A 23,019-nucleotide genomic window follows, 5' to 3' on the forward strand; every position below is an offset into this window, starting at 1 on the left:
CATACACTGGAGCCTTGGTTTCTTCACAAGCAAAAACTGAAAAGTGTTTTCCAGTTTACTTTGTCTTATTATATATAGATATGACTCTTATTTGAATTAGAAAAATGAACTATCAAAGATTTACATTTTTGTCTCTTTGTATAGAGGGATACAGCATATTTCTTAGAATTTACCAATTGGCTTTAAACTTTTAATCTCACGGTTAAATGAAAAGTAATTATAAAACTTACTAAAGACAATAGCAACTCTTAGAAATATAGGCCTAGAGGCCAGGCACGGTGGCTCACACCTGTAATCCAAGTACTTTGGGAGGCCGAGGCGGGCGGATCACGAGGTCAGGAGATCGAGACCATCCTGGCTAACATGGTGAAACCCCGTCTCTACTAAAAATGCAAAAAAAAAATTAGCCGGGCGTGGTGGCGGGCCCCTGTGGTCCCAACTACTCGGGAGGCTGAGGCAGGAGAATGGCGTGAACCCGGGAGGCAGAGCTTGCAGTGAGCCGAGAATGCACCACTGCACTCCAGCCTGGGCGACAGAGCAAGACTCCGTCTCAAAAAAAAAAAAAAAAAAAAAAAAAAGGAAATATAGGCCTAGGGCACCGGCAGAGAAAAAATGGAGGATGGGAGGCAGGACCAACTTGCTTCTCCCACCTGGATGGACAGAGCGGCGTGTGGAGACTCACATCATGAACTTTTGCTCCAAGAATTACCACAGGTACATACCAGGAAAGCCAAAAGAATCTACAGACCCTTTAAAGGAACTGACTTGCCGCCACAGGCTCTGTGAGACAGCCGCAAAACTGTAGGCGCCTTAAGTGTGTAAGGGGGAACGTCTCTCCCCGAAAACACATCCTCAACAGGGAACACGAAGGTCCAAATCACAGGAGAAGGATTTAACCTTACCTGGATTTGAGACAAATTTAGAGAGCTGAGCTAAGTATAAGGGTTGAGGAAGCAGTGGGAAGACCCCCGTGGGCACTTTTGGTCCCCAAGGAAGCCATTTATGACTTTGTCTTGCAGACGCCCTTGGGTAGGGCTGCCAGGAGAATTGGGGAAAGATCACAGGGAGAAGGAAACTTCCAGCTTAACTTTTTAACAATTTCCACCAAACGAGCAAAGTTTCCTGTACAGAATCCGGGGGAGGGGCGAACAGGGATTGCAGAAACGAGGAAGCCTGAAGCCTGAAAGCCCTACTTGCTTTCTCAGCGGGGGAGGCTTGTAGCCTGGGGCAAGTTCTCAGGCCTGCTGGTTGGCTGCCTAGAAATAAACTGGGTGCTATTGGTGGGGAGTGAGACTGGCCTTTTCGCTGCGTGGAAGCTGAGTAAGGCCTGTCACTGCGAGCTTTCCCCCACTTCCCTGGCCACTGTACTACACAGCAGAGGCAGCCATAATCCCCTTGAGAACATAACTCAATTGGATGGAGAACCGCATCCCCAACCCCCACAATGTCTGCAGCAAGCCCTGCCCAAGGAGAGTCTGAGCTCAGGCACACCTAACCCTGTCCCCACCTAATGGGCATTCTCTACCTGCCCTGGTAGCTGAAGACAAAGGACATAATCTCTGGGAGCTCCATGGCCCCGTCCACCACATGAGAAACAAAAATATTTATCCAGGTGAACCTAGGGCAAGCTTGTAGCCTCCCTCAACTACCGCAGCTGATGCTCTTTTGAAAGCGCCACCTCCTGGCTGCAGGCCAACCAACACAAAACTAGCACACTAAACAAAACTACAACCAAGGACCCTCACAGAGTCCACTTCACTCCCCTGCTACCTCCACCGGAGCAGGTGCTACATGGTGGAGAGACCTGAAGATGGATCAAATCACAGGACTCTTTGCAGACACTCCCCAGCACCAGCCTGGAGCCTGGTAGCTCCCCAGAAGAGAAATAATAATCACTGCACTTTGGCTCTCAGGCAGCCCCTAGGGGAGGGGGGAGAGCATCACATCAAGGGAGCACCCTGTGGAACAAAAGAATCTGAACAGCAGCCCTTGAGCCCCAGATCTTCCCTCTGACATAGTCTATTCAAATGAGAAGGAAACAGAAAAACAATTCTGGTAATATGACAAAACAAGGTTCTTTATTACCCCCAAAAGATCATACTAGCTTACTAGCAATGGATCCAAACCAAGACAGAATCTCTGAATTGCCAGAAAAAGAATTCGGAAGGTTGATTATGAAGCTACTCAAGGAGGCACGAGAGAAAGGTGAAGTCCCACTTAAAGAAAAAAAAAATACAGGATATGAATGGAGAAATCTCCAGATAAATAGATCGCATAAATAAAAAACAATCACAACTTTTGGAAATGAAGGGCACACGTAGAGAAATGGAAAGTCTCAACAACAAAATCGAGCAAGTAGAAGAAAGAGCTTCAGAGCTCAAAGACAAGGCTTTTAAATTAACCCAGTCTGACAAAGACAGAGAAAAAAGAATTAAAGAAATAAACAAAGCCTCCAAGAAGTTTGGGATTATGTTAAATGACCAAACCTAAGAATAATTGGTGTTCTTAAGGAAGAAGAGAAATCTCAAAGTTTGGAAAACATATTTGAAGGAATAATTGAGGAAAACTTCCCTGGCTTTTCTAGAGACCGAGACATCCAAATATGAGAAGCTCAAAGAACACTTGGGAAATTCATCGCAAAATGATCATCGCCTAGGCACATAGTCATCATGTTATTAAAGCCAAGACGAAGGAAAAAATCTTAAGGGCTGTGAGGCAAAAGCATCAGGTAACCTCTAAAGGAAAACCTATCAGATTAACAGCAGATTTCTCAGCAGTAGCCCTATATTCTAGAAGAGATTGGGGTCCTATATTTAGTCTCCTTAAACAAGACAATTATCAGCCAAGAATTTTGTTTCCAATGAAACTAAGGTTCATAAATGAAGGAAAGCTATGGTCTTTCAAAGACAAACAAATGCTGAGAGAATTTGCCATTACCAAGCCAGCACTACAAGAACTGGTAAAAGGAGCTCTAAATCTTGAAACAAATCCTCAAAATACACCAAAATGGAACCCCTTTAAGTCATAAATATCACAGGACCTATAAAACAATAACACAATGAAAGAAAAAGCAAGGTATTCAGGCAACAACTAGCAAAATGAATAGAACAGTACTTCACATCTCAATACTAACATTAAATGTAAATGGCCCAAATGCTCAAGAGATACAGAATGGTAGAATGTATAAGGGTTCACCAACCAAATATCTGCTGTCTTCAAGAGACTCACCTAACACAGAATAACTCACATAAACTTAAGGCAAAGGAATGGAAAAAGATATTCCATGCCAATGGACACCAATGGTGAGGAGGAGTAGCTATTCTTATATCAGACAAAACAGAATTTAAAGAAACAACAGTTAAAAAAGACAAAGAGGGGCATTATATAATGATAAAAGGACTAGTCTAACAGGAAAATGTCACAATCCTAAATATATATGCAACTGATGCTGGAGCTCCTAAATTTATAAGAGAATTACTAGTAGACTGAAGACATTAGATGGACAGCAACACAATAATAGTGGGGTTTTTGAATACTCCACTGACAGCACTGGATGTGTCATCAAGACAGAAAGTCAACAAAAAAACAATGAACTTAAATTATACCCTAGAGCAAATAGACTTAACAGTTATTTACAGAACATTCTACCCAACATCTGCAGAATATAACATTCTATTCATCAGCACATGGAACATTCTCCAAGATAGACCATATGGTAGGCCACAAAACCAGTCTTAATAAATTTAAGAAAATCAAAATTATATCAAATACTCTTTCAGACCACAGTGGAATAAAATTAGAAATCAACTCCAAAAGGAACCCTCAAAACCATGCAAATACATGGAAATTAAATAACCTGCTCCTGAATGATCACTGTGTCAACAATGAAATCAAGATGGAAATTAAAAAATTCTTTGAACTGAATGGTAATAGTGACAAAACCTATCAAAACCTATGTGATACAGCAAAGGCAGTGCTAAAAGAAAAGTTCATAGCATTAAATGCCTATGTCAAAAGGTCTGAAAAAGCACAAATAGACAATCTAAGGTCACACCTCAAGGAACTAGAGAAGCAAGAACAAACCAAACCGAAACCCAGCAGAAGGAAAGAAATAACCAAGATCAGAGCAGAACTGCATGAAACTGAAACAAACAAACAAAAAATATAAAAGATAAATGAAAAAAATTGGTTATTTGAAAAGATGAACAAAATGGATAGACCATTAATGAGATTAACCAAGTAAATAAGAGAGAAGATACAAATAAGCTCAATTAGAAATGAAATGAGACATATTACAACTGATACCACAGAAATACAAAAGATTACTCAAGGCTACTATAGATACCCATATGTGCACAAACTAGAAAACCTAGAAGAGATGGATAAATTCCTGGAAATATACAATCCACCTAGATTAAACCAGGAAGAAACAGAAACTTTGAACAAATCCATAACAAGCAGTGAGATTGAAATCATCATAAAAAGACTTCCAACAAAAAGAAGTCCCAGACCAGACTGATTCACAGCTGAATTCTATGAGACATTCAAAGAATAATTGATACCAATCCTATTGACACTATTCCAGAAGATAAAGAAAGAGGGAAACCTCCCTAAGTCAGTCTAAAGCCAGCATTACCCTAATACCTCAAACAGGAAAGGACATAACAAAAAAAGAAAACTACAGACCAATAAACCTGATGAACTTAGATGCAAAAATCTTCAACAAAACACTATATAACCAAATTTAACAGCATTTCAAAAAGATAATCCATTATGATCAAGTCAGTTTCATACCAGAGATGCAGGGATGGTTTAACCTATGCAAGTCAATAAATGTGATACACCACATAAACAGAATTAAAAACAAAAATCACATGAACATCTCAACAGACACAGAAAAAGCATTTGACAAAACCCAGCATTGTTTTATGATTAAATCCTCAGCAAAATCGGCATAGAAGGGGCATTTCTTAGGGTAATAAAAGCCATCTATGACAAACTTACAGCCAACATTATACTGAACAGAGAAAAGTTGAAAGTATTCTCCATGAGAACTGGAGCAAGGCAAGGAGGCCAACTCTCACAACTTCTATTCAATATAGTACTGGAAGTCCTAGCCAGAGCAATCAGAAAAGAGAAAGAAATAAAGGGCATCCACATTAGTAAAGAGGAAGTCTAGCTGTTGCTGTTAGCTGATGATATGATCGTACAGTTAGAAAACCCTAAAAGTCATCCCCAAATCTCCTAGAACTGATAAATGAATTCAGTAGTTTCAGGATACAAAATCAATGTACATAAATCAGTAGCACTGCTCTAAGCCAACAGTGACCAAGCTGAGAATCAAATCAAGAACTCAACACCATTTACAATAGCTGCAACAAACAAACAAACAAACAAATAAAAAATATAGGAATATACCTAATCAAGGAGGTGAAAGACCTCTACAAGGAAAACTACAAAACACCGCTGAAAGAAATGATGACAGAAACAAATGGAAAAACATCCCATGATCATGGATGGGTGGAATCAATATTGTGAAAATGACCATACCGCCAAAAGCAATCTACACATTCAATGCAATTCCCATCGAAATACCAGCATCATTCTTCACAGAACTAGAAGAAACAATCCTAAAATTCATATGGAACCAAAAAAGAGCCCACATAGCCAAAGCAAAGCTAAGCTAAAAGAACAAATCTGGAGACATCACACCATTTGACTTCAAATTATACTATAATGCCACAATTACCAAAATAGGATGGTGCTGATATAAAAATAGGCATATAGAGGTTGGGCATGGTGGCTCATGTCTGTAATCCCAGCACTTTGGGAGGCCGAGGTGGGCAGATCACGAGGTCAGGAGATCGAGACCATCCTGGATAACACGGTGAAACCCCGTCGCTAAAAATACAAAAAAAAATTAGTCGGGCATGGTGGAAGGCGCCTGTATTCCCAGCTACTCAGGAGACTGAGGCAGGAGAATGGCGTGAACCCGGGAGGTGGAGCTTGCAGTGAGCCGAGATTGCACCACTGCACTCCAGCCTGGGCCACAGAGTGAGACTCTGTCTCAAAAAAAAAAAAAAAAAAAATAAAATAAAATAAAATAAAATAAAATAAAAAATAAATAAAAATTGGCATATAGACAAATAGAACAGAATAAAGAACCCAGAAATAATGCCAAATACTTATAGTCAACTGAATTTTGACAAAGCAAACAAAAACATAAAGTGGGGAAAGGACACCCTGTTCAACAAATGGTGCTGGGATAATTGGCAAGTCACATGTCGAAGAATGAAACTGTATCCTCATCTCTCACCTTATACAAAAATCAACTCAAGATGGATCAAAGACTTAAATCTAAGACCTGAAACCATAAAAATTCTAGAAGATTACATTGGACAAACCCTTCTAGATATTGGCTTAGGCAAAGACTTCTTGACAAAGAACCCAAAAGCAAATGCAACAAAAACAAAGATAAATAGATTGGACTTAATTAAACTAAAAAGCTCTGCACAGCAAAAGAAATAATCAGCAGAGTAAAGAGATAACCCACAGAGTGGGAGAAAAATCTTCGCAAAGTGTGCATCTGACAAAGGACTAATATACAGAATCTACAAGGAACTCAAACAAATCAGCAATGAGAAAATAAAAAATCATATCAAAATGTGGGCTAGGGACATGAATAGATAATTCTTAAAAGAAGATATACAAATGACCAATAATCATGAAAAGATTCTCAACATCACTAATTATCAGGGAAATGCATATCAAAATCACAATGTGATACCACCTGCAAGAATTGTCATAATCAAAAAATCAAAAAATAATAGATGTTGGTGTGGATATGGTGAAAAGGGAACACTTTTACCCTGCTGGTGGAAATGTTAACTAGCACAATAACTATAGAGAACAGTGTGGAGATTTCTTAAATAACTAAAAGTAGTTCTCACATTTTATCCAGCAATTTCACTATGGAGTATTTACCCAGAGGAAAACAAGTCATTATACGAAAAAGATACTTGCACACACATGTTTATAGCAGCACAATTTGCAACTGCAAAAATATGGAAAAAGCCCAAATGCCCATCAATCAATGAATGGATAAATAAAATGTGATATATATATATATATACACACACACACATATCCATATATATACGTATATATGGCTATATGTGTATATATACATATATAGTGTGTATATATACGTATATACACACACGCGTATATATACATGCGTGTGTATATACGTATATACACACATATGTGTGTGTGTATATGTATATACACACGTATGTATGTGTATATATGTATATGTATACATATATACCATTTCATTCCTTTTTATGGCTGAGTAGTATTCCATGGTGTGTGTGTGTGTGTATATATGGTATATAGGTATACATATGTGTATACATATACATAGGTGTATACATATATACCATATATACACACACATATGTATACACACACCATGGAATACACATATACACCATGGAATAACATATACATATACATATGTATATGTATAGGTATACATGGTATATGTATACATGGAATATATGTGTACATGGTATATGTATACATGGAATACACATATACATATACATATGTATACATATGTATATATATGGAGTACACACATACATATATGTATACATATATACCATATATATATACACACACACATATGTATACACACACACCATGGAATACTACTATATAGTAGTCCATATATACATATATATGGTATATATGTAGACATATATTCCATGTATGCATGCATTCCATGGTGTGTGTGTGTGTATATATATATATATATATATGTATACATATATACCATATATATGTGTATGTGTGTGTGTGTGTGTGCATGTGTATATATACATACACCATAGAATACTACTCAGCCATAAAAAGGAGTGAAATAATGGCATTCATAGCAACCTGGATGGAATTGGAGGCCAGTATTCTAAGTGAAGTAACTCAGGAATGGAAAACCAAACATTGTATATTCTCACTTATAAATGGGAGCTAAGCTATGAGGATACAAAGGCATAAGAATGATAAAATGCATTTTGGGAACTCAGGGTGGGGAAAGTGTAGGAGGTGGGTGAGGGATAAAAGACTACACTTTGGATCGAGTTTACACTGTTCAGATGACACGTGCACCAAAATCTCAGAAATCATCACTAAAGAACTTATCCATGTACCCGAACACTACCTATTTCCCCAAAACCTATTGAAATTTTTAAAAAAAGTCTATAAAAATCAGAATAATTATAAAACTTTCTGAAAATATAGAAATATTTGACTGAAATGGGACTTGAGCGATGGAGATAAATGGGCATGAAATCATGGCAGAATAAAAATATTACAAGTCCCAAATATTAGTGCTATTTTTATACTTAATTTTTTATGAGCAGATTTTAAAAATCAAGTGATTATATCAATTTAATAAAAATAGTAAAAAATTATTTGGTTTGTCGAATTATAAAACTGGTTCAGTTATAGTTTTTTGAGGAATTAAAATTTCAAGTATAGGTAGATTATAGGGGAATTATAAAACTCAACTAAAAATATTAATGCTTTTAGGAAGAGTTTATTCTATGCCTTGGGAGGAAATATTTGAAGATTATACTAGAAACTTTTGTTGCCAAAAAACAAGTATGCTTTGAAATGCTGTGATGTGGTGTTGACAGAATTCAATAGCCAACTTAAAAAGAGATACCACTGGCCAAAATGTGACCATTTGAGCATCAAAAATAAAATTAAAATTGCAAACGATTAAAACAGCAGAGGCCAAAAGAAGCTATAATTTATAATGATGCTGTATTGGTCAATTTTTACACTGCTTTAAAGATACCACCTGAGATTCAGTAATCTATAAACAAAAGAGGTTTAATTGACTCACAGTTCCACATGGTTGGGGAGGCCTCAGGAAACTTACAATCATAGTCAAAGGTGAAGGGGAAGCAAGGCACAGTCTTACATGGCAGTAGGAGAAAGAGGTGGGAGTGGAAGGGCCAGACACTTATCAAACAACCAGATTTCATGAGAGCTTACTCACTATCATGAGAACAGCAAGGGGGAAATCTGCCCCCATGATCCAATTACCTCCCACCAGGTCCCTCCCTTGACATGTGAGGATTACAATTTGAGATGAGATTTGGGTGGGGACACAGAACCAAACCATATCAGATGTTAAAAAGGAAATGGAACTTTATTTTCTTGTAATATAAATGATACTGTATTCAAGTTAATTTCTTTGGAGAAAAATAACATTTTATCAAATTTCATTTTATACACATACACACACACATACACACACACTCACACATATATAATGGAAGCATCCTATCTGTAGAAGGATCCTATCCCATGTATACTCAGACTTCTAAACTTCTCTCTGAATACCTTCAAGGAACTGAATAAAAATTTATCTAATAATGTTCCATATCCATCAACTAATTGCATCTGAGATTACTGAGGAGATTCTATGCCAAGATTTTTATTCTTCTGATTTTTTTATCATGTATTTATTCAAAACTTCTGTTTGGATGGAATTCATTGTATAAGACCAAGAAATTTATAATACTTTATGATTCCAAACAGTCACAATTTAATAAAAATAGACATAAAATTATTTGACAAAATTATTTTTTTTACTTTGCTAGAACTTAAATTTATAAAGCCTACCTTCTTAGAGCATCTTATATATGATGAAATTCAGTGTTCTATGGTTTTCACTTGAGCATGTTTAACAGGATTGGGTTACCAGCATTACTAAAAGGACCTTAAAATATTTTATAAAATGGTCCTTCATCTTGGAACTTCAGAAAGAGTTATTGATTTTAGCACAATGCTCACCATATGCTTACCATAGTCTCTCAAAGTCCTAAAAAAAACCCTGTGGAATGAAGGAATCTTTTAGCGCTGAAGTGGAGAGAATGCTCTATTACAATTGTGAGTGCTTTTTTGCATATAGCAGAGTATTTTGAAAACATCATTTACTGTCACATATACATTCCAATGTGATGCATTTGTATTCCATTTTGTCTGTTTCATGAAAAACTGTCCATAGCTTGAGGTGAAAGGTAATTGCTGCAAACAAATGCATCAGCCCATTGCTATGGCTTCCCTCCATTTCTCCCATGTAAAAAGTGCTCATTTTTGCAATCTCTTCTTCAGAAAGCTGTGAATCTAAGTACCCAGAACAGTTTGTTCCTTCTCTTTTTCATCTAGAACAAACAAAGAAGTGTCAAGGGGATGGAAGAAAGTCCTTCCCCAAGCATCTCAGTGAATATACGTTCCTTTTAAACTGTTGAACCTTTTTTGTTTTAGAAAACTTTTCATTGTTTGATGTCCATGATGATCACTTAGACTAATTCGCGAGCCACTGGACTTAGCAGAGCATGGATATTTCTTAAATTTGAAACAGACAAAGCTCAGAAAGACAAATTTCATCTCTGTAGCCTTTGTTTACAATTTGTATTGGGTGGGACTTATTTACAGTGCATTGCATCTAGGCAGTGTTGCTGTTGCTTCTTATGCCAAATGAAAGAGGAATGTTAAAGTCTGCAAGATGATATTCTCATTAAATTATTATGATGTTTTTATTTATACAAAGTTAGGTAAAAATGACCTCATAGGTTTCTATCAGCTCTGTAATTCAATATCCCAAATGACTCAATTATTTCGTCTTAAATCCATGACGCTTACAAGAATTTCTAAATTATCGCCTGAGAGATAATTTTCACATTTATTTTTAGAAGGCAGAAGATCATGGATTAATATAACTGTAGGTTAGAGAAGAGAAGCACTGTATATTTTAATACTTGAAATGTATGATCTCTTAATGAATGGTGTAATTTATGGGCCAATGCATGGGCTTTGGATTTTGGGCTGCCCTGTGTTGAGATCCTGGCTTGGTATATCAGTTAGCTTTCTTTGATTGCAGAGAAACAAATATTGCCTAACTTAAGCAAAAAGGAAACTTATTGGCAAAATTTTAAGATATAACAAACTTGAAGATTCGAGAACTGCTTCTTGAAATTGGCAGAAACCAATAGTTTTGGGTGAGTCAAGAAAATAAGAACTAAAGAAAATTTCTCAAGATAGGAAAAGTCAGATGGGGGTACTGCTTCTGAAGGAATGGAATATCACCATTTTTTTTTTAAAGCCTTGTACCATTTCCTCAAGGGTTAAAGTCCCAGAAAAGAATATTTGACTAAATATTGTTCCCCAACTAGTACAAGTCTAGTGGAAAGAAGGATCCTCTCCTTCAATTTCTGTAATGAAAGTTATCAATTTGCCACCTATTAAAATATTCTAAATGAGTGAGATATGATTCCCCAAGAGGAAATTGGAGTGCTGCAAGAAAGGGATAATGGATGCTGGGGGCCAAAGAGCAACAAATATACATTATGCATGGCTGCTTACTAGCAGTATGATGATTGGCAAGTTACGTAACCTTTCTAAGCCTCAGTCTTATCTATAAAATGGCAACAATAACAATTTCTTCTTTCTTGGATTATTGTATTAAATGAAATAATATATGGACAATCTGAGGCTCATAGTAATCATACCATACATATAAGCTATCATTATTATTTTTTAGTTTCTACAGTCCTTTTGCAGACATTTGTTTATTAATTTCCCACAATATCCTGTTAGATAACTATAATGGATTATTATCCTTGTTTTATGGATGAGAAACATGGACTTAGAAGGAGTTGCCCAAAACCTAAAGCCTGGTGTTCTCTGAAATCCTACGTACTTTCTTCTGTGGAGTGCAGCACGTCACTGAAATATCATCACTTTGGAGAAAAAACAAAAAGCAATGCTGTGACATAGCATTGAGCAATAGTCAGAACTAGGTAACATTCAGATAGAGCTCTTATAGCAATCGGATTGTTTGCTCACTGCTTTGCTGAAGGTTAATTCAGCTCTTGTGGATATTGACTGGAAGTGGATGTCCTGAAGAACACGCACAGGATGGTGTCAATGTTGCAGTGCAATTCTGTGACCTTGAGGTTTTAGCGCAAAGAAACCCAAGCTGATAAAACTGTGGTGCTTTAAAAGTATAGTTTTGATACTGTTCGCTTATTAACAAAATGTGAGAGTACAGAAAAGCAGTCTGTCATATACCATAGAATTTTTTAAAGCAATCCACTGCTCTGTGTGTGGGCAGGTCTGGATTCCTTTTTAGTTTCACACCTGGACATCCATGCATAAGGGTGGGACATACTGTTTAATAACAAGTATGTTTTTCTGTCCTGAGTTTTACTATCTTGCAACATTGCATCTCTGTCTTGGTGAATATTTACCCAGTCTAGGAGGCTGTTTTCAGGACCTAAAAGACAGCATTCTCCAGTGAGCATTCTCTAGCTTCCCACCTCTGGGGTCCATCTTCCTTTACTGATCTCTCTGGAACAAGAAAGCAGAATTGTTCTTGTAGTAAACAAAGTCAGCAATATCCAACTGTGCTTTTAGCAAGAAAGGGACCAGAAAGCTGGGAGAATTTATTGATTTCTTGTTGATCCTCCTGATTTTCTATGTTTTTTCCTTAAAGAATCTGAAGTGAGATTTTGAAAACTGTCCAAGTTACTAATTTTCTTTTAAGACCTCCAGGCTGCCTGGTTCTTTTGTATTCTCCTCTGTACTCACTTTTTGCTGCCTTATATGTAAATTCTTAACATTGAAGGCAGTGCCTCCTGTGAGACTGTGGACTCCAAGAGAGTTAGAGATAATATCTTGTCCACTTTTTGCATCCTTTAAGTGCACTTCAAAGTGCAATCTGTGGACCAACAGCAGAGACATCACCACGGAGACATCAGAAATGTAGAATGTCAAACCCTGCTCCAGACTTAGTGTAACAGTATATGCATTTTAATAAGCTCTCTAGGTGCTTTGTGTGCACATTTAAAATTGAGCAACATTGCTCTTCAGCACTTTTGACACAATGCATGTTAAATAGTAATGAAGATAATAAAGTATGCAAGCTAAATAATTATTATTTATGAAATCCTCTTCACTGCCATTTCTTTACCTCTTCAACATTCTCTAGTAACATCCCAATGCTAGAAGCAATGGAAACTTTTGAAGACATATGAAGTTGGCAATTTCAGAATCCACTTGCACAGCTCAAAAAAAGGAAAGCAAAAAGAAAATAGAAGTAAGTGATCATCTAGTGAGGAGTGCCGGAGGAAGAGAGTCATTGTTTGTTAAGTTCGTGTTCTTTATGAATATCATGAGCTTCAAAAAGCAATAGGTTTCTAAGCCACAGCTGCATTTCCCTCATTGCCCCATCTCAATCTCAACCCATTCATTCACTTTTATGTGTTTCATTTACCACATTTTCTGTGCATGCTTTATTTACACAAAATAATCACATTATAAAATATGTACATGTCTTAGTTCATTTGTACTGCTACCACAAAATACAAAATACCTGAGACTGGGTAATTTATAAAGAACAGAAATTTACTTTTCATGGTTCTAGAGGTGGAGAAGTTCAAGATCAAGGTGCCAGCAGGTTGGGATGTCTGCATCTTCCAAGAGGAAGGAACACTGGGTCCTCATGTGGCAGAGAACAGAAGGGCAAGAGAAATGGATGCAGCATGAGGCCTCTTTTGTGAGGGCCTTAATATCATTTACGAAGGGAAGAGCCCTTATCAACTAATCACCTCTTAAAGACCCCAGTTCTTATATCTATCACATTGACCGTTAAGTTTCAACCCCTGAAATCTGGAGGGGACACATTCAAACCATGGCAATACACAAAAAGTAACACAGAATAACCCCCACCCCAAGCCCCCAAAGCCAAATTTAAAAGCCAATTTGCTAGGCCATGCATTATAATATCACAAAAATAGGTTAATAAATGTGTTTCAGTTGGTATACGGTATATGAATTGGTATTTTAAAATTTTAATTAAAGGATGATAAAAAGTGACTTTAACAATAGAAGTTTGTCAGTGATTCTTTCTCTGTTTCTTGAATTTCTTGTGTAGGATGCTGGCTATTTTGCTTACCCACAGGGTTCATTCTGGTGGTGATTATGATTGTGTAAACTCAAACTTCTGTTCCAAGGAGTTATTTTAGTTGACTTGAGTTCTGTTCAATATTTATTGATTGCATGCTTTGTGTCAAGCACTGTGGTAGGAGCGGGGCATACAAGAATGAATATGACACAGTCTGTGTCTTCCAGGAACTTGTGGGCTGCTGGGCTAGAAAGTCATTAAACAGAGCATGTCAAGAAAATAATTTAAGTGTTTTGATAGAGGGATACTCAGAGTTATGTGGGTCTTAGGAGATGGGCATTGTATGATTGGATGGGAGTAAAGAAAGCCTCACTTGGGAGGTGAATCTTAGATTTTGTTTTGAATGAGCAGTGGGAGTTAAGTAAATAAATGAATGCTGCAGACACAGTCTAAGTAGAAGTTATATTGAGAATATAAATGCTGATGGTGTGAAACAGCATGGTCTGTTCTGGAAACTTTGCCAAGATGCAAATTATAATGTAAGAGATTCATATGATGAGGCCAAAGAGAAAAGCTAGAGCCCCAGTGTGAAAGCCTCTGGAAAATATTTACCAAACTCACCATATTTAAATTAGTTATAGGTATGTGACACCCTAAATTCTATGTTAGAAAAAAAAATTCATTGGCTCAAAAGAAAATTGCATGAATGTTTCAATCTTATTGTAAAAGTATTTCCTCTTTTTCATTAGGATGTGTTTATGTTCCTCAATAGGGAAATGGCTTATGAAGTTACGCCACTTCACAGCATATTGAGGGAGTCATAAAAGCACTGGGAAAAAACCTGTTATTCAATAAGATAGTATCTACATCAACACTGCATTTTTTGGTAGGCATTAGAAGTAGCACTTAACAGCTTGCATGAATCATTTTGACTTAGATGTGCATGACTGTAATGTTGTAGAGTGGTGAGCTGACCTATGGAAAAGGAATAAACATTAAGCTTTGCTTTTGCAGAAACCACAACTGATGCATAGCAACGTCTAGAAAAATTACAGCACAGATATCAAAGAGAGGTATATTATTATTAATTATTTTACATAAGAGGAAGAAATAAAATACTTGTGTATCCCCCGTATATCCTGTACTTTCTTTTTGGCAAAGGAAATTATTTACACTAAAAATCAAACTCCATGAGGGTAATATATGGTGTTTTTCCTTCTGTTGAATTCAAAACACTTAAATACATAGTGAGCACTCAAGAATTATATACTAAACAAATAATGCATAAGCTGAGTTTTTCTTTGCAATGTCTTATTTGGTAGATTCTACCATTCATAAAAATATTAAAAACTATAGAGAACAACGCCCTTGGGAGCATAGAGATAAGTAGCATCTTGTAGAGTTGGTCCCCTGTTGTTCAGATAACTCATTCTCTGTTGAGCAAAGCCAAGGGGGTGGTGTTTAAAGTTTGAATTGGAGGTATAACAAGTTATCGAAGATTCTAAAATTCTCAGTGATGTTTTGAAAATTTTAAAATAGATTAATACATGCTTTTTGATAAATTCCAAGCAACTACAAAGACATGGTAACAATCCCGTGTAGCACTAGTGTGCTACAAAAACAGACTAGTAGGTCAGTGAAATCAAATAGCAAACTCAGGTTAGAACTATGTATTCCTGCTACCAGAGATGAATTAACAGTGGAGGTAACAAAACTTAGGCTTCATTATTTACTTACTCTGGGTGGGAATTCTCCTAAGATATTCACATTGTTATGTGTTTTTGTAAAATTTTCAAGAGTAAGATAATTTTGCTTCATTAAGTTAAGACAGTAGCTCTTGCCACTCTGAGTTCCCCTTCATCGCACTTCCCTTTTGTCTCATAGTATTAGAGTGGGCATGGACAGTTTTGGAATTTAGCTAAGAGAAAGTTGAGTTGGGAGTGCCATTTTAACTGAAATTTGGAAAATGTACCAAGGATATGAAAACACATGTTAGAGAAGAAAAATTGAAAAAGGTAACAATCATGTATCACAGTATCTACTCAAAATAATTGGTAATCAGAAGATCTAAAATAGATCAGACATCTCTCCTATAATTGTTACCTCCAGCCAGTTGGATAATGGCAGCATTGACAGGAATGTGGGGGTTTAGAGATCCTCATGGCCTGGTGGGAATGTAGCCTGAGTGTATTCATTTTGGAGATGGTGATTCCAAGAATGTATTCATTTCTATATTTTCTAGTTTATATGCATAGAGGTATCCATACTAGTCTCTGATGGTTTTATACATTTCTGTGGGGTTGGTGTTAATGTCCCCTTTGTCATTTCTGATTGTATTTATTGTATCTTCTCTCTTTTTTTTCTTGGTTAATCTAGCTTGCCGTCTATCTTATTTATTTCAAAAAACTAACTCCTGGTTTTGTTGATCTTTTGTACAGTTTTTCAAATCTCAGTTTTCTTCAGTTCACCTCTGATATTGTTTACTTCTTGTGTTCTGCTAGCTTTAAGGTTGGTTTGCCCTTGTTTCTCTAGTTCCTTTAGATGTGATGTTAGGTTGTCCATTTTAGACCTTTCTGATTTTTTGATGTGGGTATTTAGTGCTATAAACTTCCCTCTTAACCCTACTTTAGCTGTGTCCCAGAGATTCTGGCATGTTGCATCTTTGTTCTCATTAGTTTCAAAGAATTTCTTGATTTCTGCCTTAATTTAATTGTTTACCCAAAACTCATCAGGAGCAGGTTAATTTTCATGTAGTTGTATGGTTTTGAGCAATTTTCCAGTATCTATTTCTATTTTTATTGCCCTGTAGTCCAAGAGTACGGTTGGTATGATATCAGTTTTCTTTGATTTTTCTGAGGGTTATGTTTTACGTCTGATATGTGGTCACTTTTTGAGTATGTGCCAAGTGCAGATGAGAAGGATGTATATTCTGTTGTTTTGGGGTGGAGTTCAGTAGATGTCTATTGGTTTCATTTGGTCAAGTGTCGAGTTCATATCCTGAATATCTTTGTTAGCTTTCTGACCCAATGACCTGTCTAATACTGTCAGTGGAGTTTTGAAATCTCCCAGTATTATTGTGTAGAAATCTAAGTTTCTTTACAGGTCTTAACGAACTTGCTTTATAAATTTGGGTGCTCCTGTGTTGAGTATGTATGTATGTATGTATGTATGTATATATATATATATACACACACACACACGCACAGAGACACACACACACACACACACACATATATATGATAGCTAGGTCTTCTTTTTAAGTTGAACCCTTTACCATTATGTAATGCCCGTCTTTGTCTTTTTAAATCTTTGCTGGTTTAAAGACTGTTTTGTCTGAAATTAGGATTGCAACTTTTGTTTTTGTTTCCTGTTTTCCGTTTGCTTGGTAGATTTTTCTCCATCTCTTTATTTTGAGTCTTTGGGTGTCTCTGCATGTCAGATGGGTCTCCAGAAGACAGCATACCACTCTTCTTTATCCAGCTTGCCACTTTGTGATTTTTAATTGGGACATTTAGCCCACTTACATTCAAGGTTAATATTAATATGTGTGGATTTAATTCTGTCATTGTTCTGTTAGCTGGTTATTATGCAGACTTGTTTGAGTGGTTGCTTTATAATGTTCTATTTACTTAAGTGTGGTTTTCTAGTGGCTGGTAATGGTCTTTGCTTTCCATAGGTAGCACTCCTTTCAGGACCTCTTTTAAGGCATGTCTGGTGGTAACAAGCTCTCTTAGCATTTGCTTGTCTGAAAGTAATCTTAATTCTCCTTTGCTTATGAGGCTTAGTTTGGCTGGATATGAAATTCTTGGTTGGAAATTCTTTCCTTTAAGATTGCTGAATATAGGCCCCCAATCTCTCCTGGCTTGTAAGATTTCTGCTTAAAGGTCTGCTGTTAGCCTGATGGGGTCTCCATTGTAGGCGACCTGCCCCTTTTCTCTAGCTGCCTTTAATATTATTTTCTTTCATTTCTACCTTGGAGAATCTGATGAGTATGTGTCCTGGAGATGGTCTTCTTGTGTAGTATCTCACAGAGCTTCTCAGCATTTTCTGCATTTGAATGTTGGCCTCTGTAGTGAGGTTGGGGAAATTTTCATGGATAATATCCTGAAATATGTTTTCCAAGTTACTTGCTTCCTCCTCCCTTGATATAGTTTGGATATTTGCTCCTGCCTAAATCTCATGTTGAGTTGTAATAACCACTACTGGAGATGGGGCCTGGTGGGAGGTGTTTGGATCATGGGAGCGTATCCCTTATGGCTTGTTGCTATCTTCATGATAGTGAGTTCTTGTGAGATCTGGTCATTTAAAAGTGTGTGGCACCTCCTCTGTCCCCACTCTTTCTCTTGTTCCTGCTTTTGCTATGTGAAGCTCCCACCTTTTCCATGTACAAGCTCCCAGTTTGCCTTCCCATGTGAGTAAAACCTCCTTGAGGCCTCCCCAGAAGTCAAGCGATGTTAACACTATGCTTCCTGTACAGCCTGCAGAACCACGAGCCAATTTAAACCTCTTTTCTTTATAAATTATCCAGTCTCAATTATTTCCTTGTAGCAATGCAAGAATGGCCTAATACACTCAGGGATGCCAGTGAATCATAGATTTGGTCTCTTTACATAATCCTCGATGTCTTGGAGGTTTTGTTCATTCTTTTTTGTTCCTTTTTCCTGATTTTTTCTGACCTAGTTCAGAGAACCAGTCTTTGCGCTTTGAGATTCTTTCCTCAGCTTTGTCTATTCTGCTGTTAATACTTGTGATTGCATTATGAAATTCTTGTAGTGTGTGCTTGAGCTCTTTCAGATCAGTTGGTTCTTCCTTATAATGGTCGTTTGGCCTATAAGCTCCTGCATCACCTTATTGCAATCCTTAGATTCCCTGGATTCAATTTCTACTTTCTCCTGAATCTCAATAATCTTCATTCCTATCCATATTCTGAATTCTGTTTCTGTCATTTCAGCCTGGTTAAGAACCCTTGCTAGGGAACTAGTGTAGTTATTTGGAGGTAAGAAGACACTCTGGCCTTTTGAGTTGCCAGAGTTCTTGCACTGATTCTTTCTCATCTGTGTGGGCTTATGTTCCTTTAACTATGGCAAATTTGAGTACAGTCAGCTGACTTCTTTTCTGGATGTTTTCAGAGGGCTGAGGCTTTGTCCAGGGTCTTCATTTGTAACTGAGTATTTGTCCTTGGTTTCACAGAGGGGTATATTAGCAAAGTATTTTTGGTGCTGAAGTTTGGGCTTTGATCCAGTCGATGGCACTTAAGCGTAATGGCATGTAGGTAGGCTCTTGCTCAGCCATAACTCCTCTGTGTTTCCTCACAATTGCAGCTACTCTGTCACTCAGTACCCTGAAAGTGTGGGCTCCTTTTCCACTTGAGTGCTGGCTGGAGATCTCGGTTTGGCACTCCTCGGCTGCTGCATACTGCAGTCCTGGGGTGAGCTAAGGCTTTATGTTCCTTCCCTAGCTTGGAGGCAGCAACAGAAGGGACCTTGGCAGTGGCTATGGCAGAAGACCTTTCACTTGTCTCTTGGGGCTCCACCCCAGAGGAATGCAGAGCCTCTATTGATTGGTGCAATTGGCCTGGGATGGACCGGCTACTTTGTGGACCTCTGGGCAGGGGTTTTGTCGGGGCGACAGACTGGCCTCTTTCCTCAGGGCAACTGCAGCTTGCTGGAGGTGTGATTAAAGCACTCAGGAGAACAGAGAAGAGCGAAACAAGACAAATGCCCATCTAGGAGAGGTACCTTTGCTCCTTCCTGCTCCTGGTCCAAGAGCAGTAAGGACAGAACTACTGCAGTAGCAGTGGCAGAGGGCTTTCAGTTTCCCCTGTGAGCTTCACCTCAGCGAATCGCAGAGCCACAGCTACTGGGAATGTTCAGCCAGGAGGTGGGGCAGATGTGCTGCTGGCGGAAGCTGGAGGCTCCACTTAATGAACAGTGGGGAGTTGAGGGCTTTCAGGGAGAAGAAACTGGGCTCCTTTCCATATGGTGATTGTGGCAGGCTGGAAACCTGAGTACAGCCTTCAGGCTCTTTGTTTTTTCAGTCTGAGGACACCAGGGGCAGAACTGCCGCCATGGCAGTGGCAGAGGGGCTGTAAGTTGCCTCTGGGAGCCCCTCCTCAGCAAAAACAGAGCCACTAGCAGTAAGAATGCTCAGCTGGGGGTAGAGCAGGTGTTCTGTGGTCCAGCGTTTGGGGCCCTGCCTGGTGAAGAGTTGGGGGTAGGTCTGACAGGGAAGAGAGACAGAGCTCTTCTCTGTATGGTGGCTGAAGCATGCTGGAGGCAACAGCATAGCAACCAGGGCCCTTTGTCCCTTCCCCAGCCTGAGGGAAGTAAGAGTGGTACCACTGCAGCAGCAATGGCAGAAGGGCTGTGGTTTGTCTCTGGGATTTCTTCCTCAGAGAAACGACTGAAGTGTTCAGGTGGGGGCAGTGTGGCTATTCTGGGGGCCAGTTTGAGAGGTATTAGCCAGTGATGAGTAGCAGAGGTTGGGACCCATGTGGAAAACAGTGTGGCTGCTTTTCCATAAGGCTGTTGCTCTGTGCCAGGGGTCTGCGCCAGTCCCCAACCACCTCACTCCCTCTAGAGCCTAAGGGCAAGAGGAGCGAGGGCTGCGGAGTGGCAGGAATGGTGGTGTGCCTCTCCCTCTGGGAGCTCCATCCCAGGGAAGAGCCGAGCTGCTCCCGGTGGAGAACTTAATGGGGCTGGAGTGGCCTGTGTCCCAGGCCAGAGGGCCTTGTCCTGCAAGGTGCAGTGGATGCAAGGCCTGCAGCACATCCCTGCTCAGCCCCTTTGAATTTGACCCCTTTCCTGGGGGGCGTGCAAGAGAGCCTGGCCTCCCCTATTGCTGGAGCTGCAGCTGCTGGTGCTGGGGTGCCCAGGCATCCAAGGCTTCTAAGATTCTGTATGTGCCTGAGTGGCAGCTCTGCCCAGATTCCACATAGCTCTTTGTGTCAGTCTGAAGGCCCCAGTTAAGGGATTCATGGGGGATCTCCTGAGCCCAGGGATACAAAGGTCTGTGGCAGAAGTATGGGTCCCCAGGTACTCTCACTCACTCACCATTTCCTCATGGTAGAGGGCCTCCTTTGGCTCCATGCCGCTCCTGGGTGGGCAGTTGTCCTCTTTTGCTCTTCTCTGTTCTCTGTGGGTCTCCTTGTTTCACTGATGAATCTTAATGTGTCCACCTGGATGTTCCAGTTGAAGAGCTAGTTTTTACCCACCACTCTTTTCTTCTTTCCATGAGAGCAGCTCACTCTAGCTGCTTCTAGTCAGCCAATTTGGCCCCCCTATATAATTTGTACTTGCCAATTATACCTTAAAGCTGGGGCAAAAGAAAACAAACAAATAAATATAATGGTAAATAAAAATTTCTGAAAGGAAAAAAAAGATATATAGGCAGCCAACAAAGTTATTGCTTAACGTGTAATCAAAAAGATCCAGCTTGGAGAGGCAGAATACTCCAGCAGCAAGTCATAATCCCTTCTCTAAATCCCAGGCCTGAATTTTTTTCAGATCTGGAACTCATCAATGGATGGAGAGGCTGATTTCCCTCTATGAAAAGATTTTCAACACCATGGCAAGTATGTCTTGTAGTGATTCTCCCACTCCTTTCTCAAAGGATTTTATCATTTACTTGGGGGAAATGTACACTGGGAAAAGGGGAATACTCAGATCTTTTAAGGACCCCATTAGGAGTATGTAACTCCATATGGGGTTCTTGTATGCACATACAAGAACAACTGAATATAGGGTGATATAGTTTGGATGCTCATTGCCTCCAAATCTCGTGTTGAAATGTGATTCCCAGTGTCAGAGGTGGGGCCTGGTGGGAGGTGATTGCATCATGGGGGCAGATCCCTCATGAATGTCTGAGCACCATTCCCTTAGTGATTAGTGAGTTCTTGCTGTGAGTTCATGTGAGATATAGTTATTTAAAGGTGTGTGGTACCTCCCCAGTTTCTTGCTCCTTCTCCTGCCATGTGATACACTGGGTCTCCTTTGCCTTCCACCATGATTGTAAGCTTCCTGAGGCCTCACCAGGAGCTGAGCAACTATTGGTGCCATGCCTGTACAGCCCATAGAACTGTGAACCAAATTAAACCTCTTTTCTTTATAAATTTTCCAGCCCCGGCTATTTCTTTATAGCAATGCAAAAATGGCCTAACACATAGGGTATGAGTTGATGCCAAAACCTAGAAACCTAAGGTGCCATTATGGCCTCCTTTGGAATAGAAATGACTAGGAGGGTGGGGAGTGTCAGCAAATAGCTTAGCAAGTAGCTTAGTTTTTTGCTTAGAGAGGTTAAAGGAGGAAGATTAGAAGGTCAGGGATGAAGAAGTATGGGGAAGAGGCATATGGATGGACCTATGTGAGTGAGTACAAAGAGTGAGGGTTTTTGTGTTGCATGTTAATACTCACCAGAGGACAGTGACTGTAGAAGAGCTTCTCCACCAAATGAGCAGAAGAGCTTGGTGAGTAGGTAGCTAGCCTATGATCTTAACTATTCCAGTGCTTGCTGAATGGGTTCATGAAAGGAGTAGCATGGTGACAGAGATAGAGCCTATGCCTGGGCCCAGCTGCATAGACTCCTTCTCCCTAAGGCTGATACACAAATTCTGTTGCTGAATATTCAAACTGTCAGTAACAGAAACCAATGCCAATCCTCTAGTATGATATCATCACTCTAGGTGACCAACCAACCATGTGGTGACAAGTTGTTTACATCACACACATTCCACTTTAGAAAAGATGGCATGTATTCTGGGTACACTTTTGCATTTCCTTCCCACAGTGCCTCAGCCAGTACTAATATTGAAACAGTTGTAGTTTTAAGCCCCTAGTTTTGGAATGAGCTGTCATGAATCAGTAGATAACATGAGCATGTTATTGGGAACATGGTATTTGGAAATAGGATGCAGCCATTAAAGGAACCCCAAAACATATGGATTCGTTGGTGGGTAGGGCTGATGAGACTGTTAATAAAATCTTAAACACCATGAGGAGCATGTTAATAGACGCTAAAAGGGCCCCAAGTAGGCTGTT

The 23,019-nt window shown here is 39.0% G+C and overlaps 2 annotated features.

The window, feature by feature from the left end:
- Positions 19,550-20,093: an enhancer, noted in NCBI's record as "OCT4-NANOG-H3K27ac-H3K4me1 hESC enhancer chr4:42788207-42788750 (GRCh37/hg19 assembly coordinates)". NCBI's record gives its function as "activates a minimal SCP1, AML or CMV promoter by ChIP-STARR-seq in naive H9 embryonic stem cells {active_cell/tissue: H9 hESC(naive)}" and the evidence as "EXISTENCE:reporter gene assay evidence [ECO:0000049][PMID:30033119]".
- Positions 20,094-20,637: an enhancer, noted in NCBI's record as "OCT4-NANOG-H3K27ac-H3K4me1 hESC enhancer chr4:42788751-42789294 (GRCh37/hg19 assembly coordinates)". NCBI's record gives its function as "activates a minimal SCP1, AML or CMV promoter by ChIP-STARR-seq in naive H9 embryonic stem cells {active_cell/tissue: H9 hESC(naive)}" and the evidence as "EXISTENCE:reporter gene assay evidence [ECO:0000049][PMID:30033119]".

Source organism: Homo sapiens, chromosome 4, assembly GCF_000001405.40.
Source record: "Homo sapiens chromosome 4, GRCh38.p14 Primary Assembly".
NCBI lineage: Eukaryota > Metazoa > Chordata > Mammalia > Primates > Hominidae > Homo > Homo sapiens.